The sequence below is a fragment of the Homo sapiens genome, chromosome 6 (genome assembly GCF_000001405.40).
Source record: "Homo sapiens chromosome 6, GRCh38.p14 Primary Assembly".
Taxonomy (NCBI): Eukaryota; Metazoa; Chordata; class Mammalia; order Primates; family Hominidae; genus Homo; species Homo sapiens.
This window is the reverse complement of record NC_000006.12, coordinates 33428139-33436515: the sequence shown is the minus strand read 5'-3', so window position 1 is coordinate 33436515 and position 8377 is coordinate 33428139. Positions and strand designations below refer to the sequence as shown.

Genomic DNA, 8377 nt, shown 5'->3' with positions numbered 1-8377 from the left:
GAAACCTCGTCTCTACTAAAAATACAAAAATTAGTCGGGTGTGGTGGTGCATGCCTGTAATCCCAGCTACTGGGGAGGCTGAGGCACAGGAATTGCTTAAACCCAGGAGGCGGAGGTTGCAGTGAGCCAAGATCACGCCACTGCACTCCAGCCTGGGTGACAGAGTGAGACTCTGTCTCAAAAAAAAAAAAAAAAGAATCAGTAAGGGCCTGGGGGGATACAATTGAGCACAAGCTAATGGTAAGGCTCAGGTGATATTGCAGTGTGTTGAAAGGGAACATGGTGTTTGTACTCTGCATAGGTCAGATCATGTCAGCATCTTGGGTTGAGTTCTTTAAGGACATCAAGACACAAGAGTTCCCCCCAGAGGAGTGTGACTAGGACTGTAAGCTTGCTAGAAACTGGGATACAGAGAATAGCTGACAGAACTGGAAGCATGAAGTTTTGGGAAGAACAGACTCATAGAATTTATGTGCCAAAGGGACCTTAGAGATCATTTAATCCAACCCATTGCCACCAGTTCCCTCTGTCTTAGAGAGGAAACCAAGGTACAGAAACTTGGCTAAGTGTATTTGATGTGTCCTGCGGGGTATTAGTGAAGCATTCCTGCCTGCAGGGAAGCTAGACTAAAGAATTTCCAGAGCCCCATCAACTCTGTAAGTCTATGACTTCTATGGCAGGGAAAGAGATCGTAAGGCAGGGTAGCAGTACAGAAAGCGAAAAGAAATGGGGGACTCAGAATAATGGGGGTCTCCCCCTGCTTGTCCAGATACACTGTACCTCAATCCTCTCCTTCCCCAAGCCTCTCCTCCTTTAACTCACTTTCCTCCCTAGGCCCCCAGCTTCCCGTGTTGGTGCAACCTTTGCCCTGCACAGGTTGTGTCCCCTTTATTCCCCAATACCTTGTTGGGCTTTACTGCCCGCTGCAGATTCTCAATCCATTTGTCTCTTTCGGCCGCAGACCGACAGGCAAAGCATTTTGTTCCTGATGAAGTTGTTACCTAGAAAGGAGTGTGGAGTTGAGGGAAAGGGCTACAGAGGGGAGGAGACTCTGCTACCTTCTCTTCCTCCCTGGCCTACCCTTTCCTCCAGTCCCAGAAGTTTCTGTTTCCTTGATGTCCCCACCTGTGCCACTTTCTCTAGACCTCTCTGCCCCCCACCTTCCATCACCCCTGTCCTTTGGCCCTCCCCAGCCCACCAGACCCAGTACCTCAAAACAGAACTCCTGGCCCAGGATGGAGCTGTGCACTGGCTTGATAATGGAATCTTCATCCAAGTTGAGCTCCAATGCCTCAGCTGCACTGCTAGGACTCAGCAAGGACTCATGAGAGTGTGACTCCTTAAAGCTTTGCATCAGCCGGGCCCTGGCAGGCAGGAGGTTCAGGAGAGGAAGGGATCAGGGCTTCCCACTCTTCCTTTTTTTTTTTTTTTTTTTTTTTTGAGACAGTCTTGCTCTGTCGCCCAGGCTGGAGTACAGTGGTGTGATCTCGGCTTGCTGCAACTTCTGCCTCCTGGGCTCAAGCGTCTCTCCTGCCTCAGCACACCCAGCTAATTTTTTTTTCTTTTTTTTTTTTGTATTTTTAGCTGAGACGGGGTTTCACCCTGTTGGTCAGGCTGGTCTCAAACTCCTGACCTCAAGTGATTCAGCCTCCCAAAGTGCTGGGATTACAGGCATGAGCCACCGCGCCCGGCCCCCCTACTCTTCTTAGACACATAGGTACCCTGCATCATCAGTCTGTTCCAGGATGGAGACTTGGAGAGAAGGCCCCCTGAACACCCTTCCCAAACAGACACAGAAAGAAACCCTGCCTATCAGGAAGGACGTGAGGGATGTGAGAAAAATCAGAATCCTTTAAGGAACTCCCCTGCTCCACCTGGGCCTGGTGGCTCACACCTGTAATCCCAACATTTCAAAGGCCGAGGTGGGAGGGTCACTTGAGCCCAGGAGTTCAAGACCAGTCTGGGCAACACAGTGAGACCCTATTTCTATTTAAAAAAAAAAAAAGGAAAAAAAAGAAACTCCCACCATCTCACACCTAAGGGATTGCGAGGACTGGGGACATCTAGAAATATCTCAACCCAGAAATGGACCATGGCAGAAAAGAAAAAAAAAAAAGGAGAGAACAAAGTGGGCCTGGGGCACTTCTAGGTAGTACCTCCAGGTAACCCCAGAAACCAGAGCCTCAGTATAAAGGAAAAAGTGGAAGTAAAGAAGTGAAGGCACAGAGAAGAGATATGTCTAGCCTGGGCCTGGCACACGGCTAGTGCCTGATAAACATTTAATGATTCAAAGAATGAATGAACACAGCATAAGAGGACAAGTTTTAGCAGAAGCAGGGGAAAGAGTGAGGGAAAAGCATAAGAAATAGGAGAAAGCTGTGGGCAGAAAAGAGCTCAAAGAGGATAAAAGACAGAATACACGGACTAGGGAAGAAGAGGAGGTAGGGCAAGAAGAAGAAAGGGGGAGACAAAGGTATGTGCAGCAAGACAGAGGACAGGAGAAGAGGAGGAAGGCCAACTGGAGAGATGGCCGGGAGAACCGAGGTGAGGGCTAAGAGGGGATGGAATGCAAAAAAATCACTGCAGGAGGGCAGAAGATAAAGGGGGCTAGGGGCATGGAATAATGAGGGGTAGGATAGCAATACAAAAGCGGTATGGAGATGGGCAGGGGATGAAGAGTAGAGAGCAGTGGGAAAGCGGGAGGGGAGCTTGGGTGTGGGAGCCTCCAAGAAGTTATTTATAGCAGCCCCGTCATCGCAGGCTCTGGCTGCCGTCAGCGCGACGCTCCCCCGGCCCCCGGACCCCCCCCCCCGCCCCCGCGGCCAGGAATACCATGCCCTCACCCCCTGCCGGCCCCAAATCCAGCTCTGGCAACATGGGAGGGGGGCAGGGAAAGGTGTGACTCACTTTATCCCAACCTCCCTACCTGCCCAATCCTGGGGGTGGCCAGACATGGGGGAAAGGGAGGGCATGGTTCTCCCTGGGGAGTGACTGGGTGAGGGGGAAACCCAGAGAGGAACCCCAAATGGCAGGCAACAAAGGCAAACAGTGGAGGTCTCCTTCAGCCTGGTCTCAGGGACAGTGCCTTCTGGACTTCTCCGCTGGCTGCTTCTTCATGCCTCAGTCCATGGGTTGCTTCCCATTCTGTCACCCTGCACACCTGTCCCAGCCTCCCCTTCTCTGCCATGCTCTATACTGTCTCTTCCCTCACTGATGAGGTCCTTGAGCCCTAGCCATCATCCATTCATTCAGCCACCCCCAGCCCCACTCCAACCTGCTGCCCCTGTATTTCCTGACCTTCCCTGACACCCTTCCACCTACAGCCTATTGCTCACTCACCTACCAACCCCTTCCCTGCATTCCTTAAACATTCCTCCAGGGTCACTCTCCTCCTGTACAGCTCCTTTGATCCTGGGCTAGAGCCCATCCTTCTTGGCCTGAGGAGTCCCTGAGGAGTCCCTCCTTGGCTTCACCTTCATTCCCTTTCCAGCCTGTCTGTCTGTCTTCTCTCTGCCACCCTACCCCTCTCCTGCTGCTCACAGATCCCTATTCTAGTTCTTTTCTGTTCTGTCCCCTGTGCCATGACATCCCCCAACCAACTTGAGTTGAATCCTTCAACCTTTGCACACAGATAACCCCCTCCCTCTGCATCTCACACAGGAGACCCTACATTACATCAATCTCATCCCACATGCTCCAGCCCCTGTACCGGTCATGGTCAGCACTTCGGAAGCGAGGCAGGATCTGGCGAAAGCTGCTGGTCCGGTCAAGTTTGGGTTGTGACTTCGTTCGTTTGATGGAGCTTTTTAGCCGTCGGCTCAGGAAGCCTTGCTGGGGGGGAAATGGGGATGGGGTGGGTTGGGGCAGGGTCAGTTCTACCTACTCATCCCTCAGCTGGTAGAGAGCCCCTGGATGAAAGTGGGATGGGGAAAAGGGAAGTCTCCAGAGGCGAGGAAAGGGGGATAGGAACCCTAATACCAGTTTGTCTTCCTTGCTCCCACGGGTACAGTGCAAGCACACACACACACACATATACACACACACACAGCTTGGAGAAGGTGGGAGGGCTGGTCTCAGAAGCAGGGGGGCAGAGCCAAGAAGGGGGAAACCAAAGAGGTGGGGAGACACACACAGACACACACTCTTTTTCTCACTCTCACTCCCTCTCTCCCCCTCCTGCCCTCTTTCTCAGACTCCTAGGGCCCCAGTTGGGGCTGGAGGGGAGGGGGCCCAACTGAGCCACATCTGGTAGGCACCACTCACCGAGGGCCGGAAGGGCGCAGCAGGGGCACCCTCCATGCTGTACTGCTTCCCCCCTGGGACACTCTTCCTCCTCGAGCGACCCAAGTGGTATTCTGGAGGGGAGGAAATGGCCAGAAGGGAAGTTGGGGAGGGGGCCAGAAGGGAAGCTGTTAACCCAGGTTCCCACCCCTGACCCCAGTGCATGCCCCCACCTCCCTCTGCCCCTCAGCTCCGGCCTCACCTACCCCCCGGAAAGCAGCAGGAAGAGCAGCGACGGCGGAGAGGCTGGCAGCGGGAAGGAGGGGGCAAGGAACCTGAGCAGGAGCCCCCTGAGGGGGATGGGGTGGGAGGCCTTAGGCCCATGACTGGGGCTGGCAGTCAGCAGGGGAGCATGGCTGAGAGGGTCAGTAAAACCCCAGTAATGAAGGACACCAAAGATCCAGGGAGGCTAGGTCCCTGGTGCCCACCCACCCCAGAAGGGGCTAGCTGGGGGGAAAGATGGGTTAAAGGTCATTGCCCATAGGCAGGCTTTCCTCTTCCCCCTGGTGGGCACATCTTCCACCTGCCCCCCACCTCCTGGAACCCCTGTCTGTCTGGAGGGCCAGGGCTGCCTCCCATGACCCCCTCCCTGGACTGGAGGGGGAGGTCTTGGAAGAGACCTGTGAAGAGTAGCAGGGGGAGAAGCTGGGGACAGAAAATCCAAGGAAGGGGCAGGTGGGGGGAAGGGAGAAGGAGCCGGTTCCACGTGCACTGCAGTGGCAGGGGCTCAGAAGGTTGGTGGGGGGAGGGGAAAAGCAAAGAATGCAGGGGAATGGGCAGGGAGCAGGAAGGATGGACAGTGGGGGTTCTCGGGACTCCCAAGTAAGGATAGGGAAAGGAGGAGGAGGGGAGGTGAATGCGGATGCAGCTCAGTCTGCCAAGAGCCTAGAGGGATGGCAAGCGCTGAAAAAGGAAGCTGAGGCTCGGCTGCAAGGGAATTTAGAGGGGCCGAGGGGCTGGAAGAGAATGTAAGTGGGGGGATGCCAAGCTCCGGCTCCAGCTCCAGAATGGCTGCCCAGGCCTGGGCTCCCCCCTCAGCCCCACAGTCACCACTGCAGCCAATGGGGGGGCAGGTGCTGCATCGGGGCGGGGCCACCATCTCCACGGCAACAAGAAGCTACAGGCTGGAAGGAGGGGGGTGGACCGGAAGAGCTGCCTGTTAACCCTCTAGGTTCCAGAACAGAACAAGGGAGGACCACAATTATATTTTCACTGTCTGCTTCCAGAATTGCAAATTGCCTGCAAACTGCCCTAGAATCAGTCCTCAGCTTCCCTTTACCTGTAAAACCCAGGTGTTAGGAGGTTTGCATACAAAAATGTGGACCCCATGACACGAGAACCCTATCACTCCCTCAGGAACAGGTGTATAGTACAGAAACATATACTGAGCTATGGAGGTACGTGTATATGAGAACCACAATACAGAAAAATAACTGGGGATCTATGTGCTTTTGAGACATACAGACAACTGTGAGCACGGGCATAGCACGGATCCACATTCTGAGACCCTGAGGCCCACACACCCCACAGGATACATGCTTTGACATATGTGAGCTCTGCAACAAGGGAGTACATACTTGAACCCAGTGACCCACATGAGAGCTGCTGGTGTGGACTTTGTGGCCCAAGTCTCTTGGGCAATCATGTGGACAGCACACTACAGAAATGGACCTATAACCCTAAGACACACATATCCCCATGCAGGGGAATTCCAGTTTAACCCCTGAAATACATGCTTGAGTACACCATGATCCTGACCACAGAAAGGTATCCCCATATCTCAGAAGCACAAACATCCTTTCATTCACGTGAAAAGTACAACCACATCCACTCTGTCTCAGGACAACCCCCTTTCCTCCCCCAGCCCTTCTCTCACTCTAACACAGGCATCCGAGATTGCCACCAGAGTAAAGAAAAACCAGGAGCAAATGTGTTAATTATCCTTCTGGTACACACTAAGCAATGCATCCAATGGTTCAGGATATCTCTTCCCTAGTAACATTTTTTCTGCATTTCTCAGGTATGGCTGCCTCACTCTCATTTCAGGGAACCGAGCTCAGCCATTATTTTCATGTGCAAGCTCATCTAATAAAGGCATAAAGTCTAACTTTAAATGCATTAAAATTCCGCTTTGGAACTAAAGCATTAACAGAAGAACAAATTTGCTAATTGGCTTGCTTGGTTCTTGGAAGTAATATAACCTTACACATATTACCAAGAACTAAGATCCATGAACTCACTCATAAGTCACAGGTACACAGAGGCCACATACACATATGCTTATTAAACACTTTTGTTGCCGCAGGAAAAGAATAGCAGAAACACAGAGGAAAGGGGGGGCAGAGTGACAGAAACACAGAACATCCTGTTATTAATGCTGCATGCAGTGACATGTACAGAGAAAACAACACACACCCGTGTACACACACACACAGCAAACCTGAAAAGCACAAACTGTGATCCTGGGTCTCCATGTCCCATGCCTGCACGATGTATACACGCATGCACACACATAACAGCCACCTACACAAACCCGTAACACAGGCATTGTGCACACACCCACACATGTACACACCCTGTGTACACACACAATGGCACTCACACACACACAGCAAGGGCTTGGACTCCTGCCCCTCCAACATCTCTAATCTTGCCATCACCCACAGAATCTCCCCCTGCCCTCCAAATCCCTAACCTTCCCTTTGGCCTTTCTTCCTCTCCACACCCAGCTGGCAGCTCTCAAGGGGAGCCAGAGGAGGGAGGTTGCCAGAGAAGGGCGAAGAACAGGGTTGGACACAGAGCAGAGAAATGGGAGACAGAGCTCTGTGCTGGGGATATGAACCTCTAATGACAGTCCCTGCTATGACAGGCCTCACTGTGAGCCAGCCCGTATGCCTGAGTGGCCTTCCCTGATCCAAAACCAAGCCTGATCCTGCAAGGCCTACAAGAATCCAGTGCCTTCTCCCATCTTCTTCCCTTTCTTCTTTCAGAGATCACTTTACCAGAAGGCCTGACTCTCTCCTCCCCACTGCCTCCCCAGCTCCCAGACCCCTTCTTCTCCCACCATCTCTATCCAGTTCCCCATCTTAAGCTCTTATCCCCTGTTCTCTCTTCTAAGTCTGGCTTGGCTTTCTCCCACATTCCCATTCTCCAGCTATTCTTTCTCCCTGGCCTGCTGCTCTCTGCTCTCTTCTTCAAGCCTCTCTCATTCCTTCTCTCCTATCCCCTCCCCACTTTTCCTCTTTACCCCATTTCTTCCCTTTTTAAGCTTTTCTGTCCCCACTTACTGACCAAGCAGGGCTTACACCTGCCCAGCCCAAAGGTGTTTCATACACAGTAGAATTCCAAGGAACACATTCACACACTTACTCCCCCCAGCCACACCACCCACATCCAGACACGCCCTGGACACCCATGCTGGGATTGACACAGATACTCAGGCCAGTGCTGGAACACACATGCAAAGACACACACCTGCCACCAGGGACACAGAAAATCCTGCTCATAGGGCCACACATTCCCACACACAGAAGCCTGACAGGAGGTGAGCCCCAGCCAGGGATATGCATGCTCAGGGTCAGAGGTGACATGGACCAGCAAGGCCGCGGACTGCCCCACAAGCCCGTGGCTGGCCCAACAGCCCCCTAGGCAGGAAACAGGCAGAGGCAAGATAAGACAGGACACACTTGCACAAGGATGGCTGCACATGTGTGCACGAGGAACTGGGCCCCCGTGTGCACATGGCACCGACACACAGGAGACACGAGCATGGGCACGAACACACACGCGGACACACGGGCTGCCCCTTCCACCAGGGGCTCCAAGATCCCACACACACCGGCCGCCCCCGCGTGCTCAAGACCCTGTCCGCACGAGGCCGGTCCCCGACCCTCCCGTCCTCCGCTGTCCCCCTCCGGTTACCATAACTCCCCCCACTCGGAAGATGCAGCGAGAACATGCGGAGGGAGCAGCTGCCGCCGCCGCCGCCGCCACCGCGGCTTCCCCACCCCCCTCCCCGCGCCCACGCACACGCGCGCCCCCGCCCCACGCGCGCGGCGCCCCCCCCTCTACGCGCGCTCCTAGTCCGCCCGGCCCC

General features: G+C 53.9%; 1 protein-coding gene across 20 annotated transcripts in view, besides 1 other annotated feature; it reads right to left on the bottom strand.

The window, feature by feature from the left end:
• The window catches only part of SYNGAP1 (synaptic Ras GTPase activating protein 1), a 35523-nt gene that overhangs the window by 17174 nt on the left and 9972 nt on the right, over positions 1-8377 (bottom strand). For 18 of the 20 annotated variants that reach the window (XR_007059351.1, XM_047419455.1, XM_047419464.1 and 15 more), the window contains exons 4-7: positions 4264-4355; positions 3710-3831; positions 1211-1364; positions 903-1001 (exon numbers count right to left, since the gene is read on the bottom strand). Coding sequence is in view for 19 of the 20 variants with exons in the window: in XM_047419455.1 (XP_047275411.1) it covers positions 903-1001; positions 1211-1364; positions 3710-3831; positions 4264-4355 (467 nt within the window). In the remaining variant the exon portion in view is untranslated. Of the gene's footprint in view, positions 1-902; positions 1002-1210; positions 1365-3709; positions 3832-4263; positions 4356-4487; positions 5291-8377 lie in introns of those variants that run through there. The other 2 variants (XM_047419462.1, XM_047419466.1) reach the window with 1 other exon arrangement.
• Positions 6823-7444: an enhancer, noted in NCBI's record as "H3K4me1 hESC enhancer chr6:33396849-33397470 (GRCh37/hg19 assembly coordinates)". NCBI's record gives its function as "activates a minimal SCP1, AML or CMV promoter by ChIP-STARR-seq in naive H9 embryonic stem cells {active_cell/tissue: H9 hESC(naive)}" and the evidence as "EXISTENCE:reporter gene assay evidence [ECO:0000049][PMID:30033119]".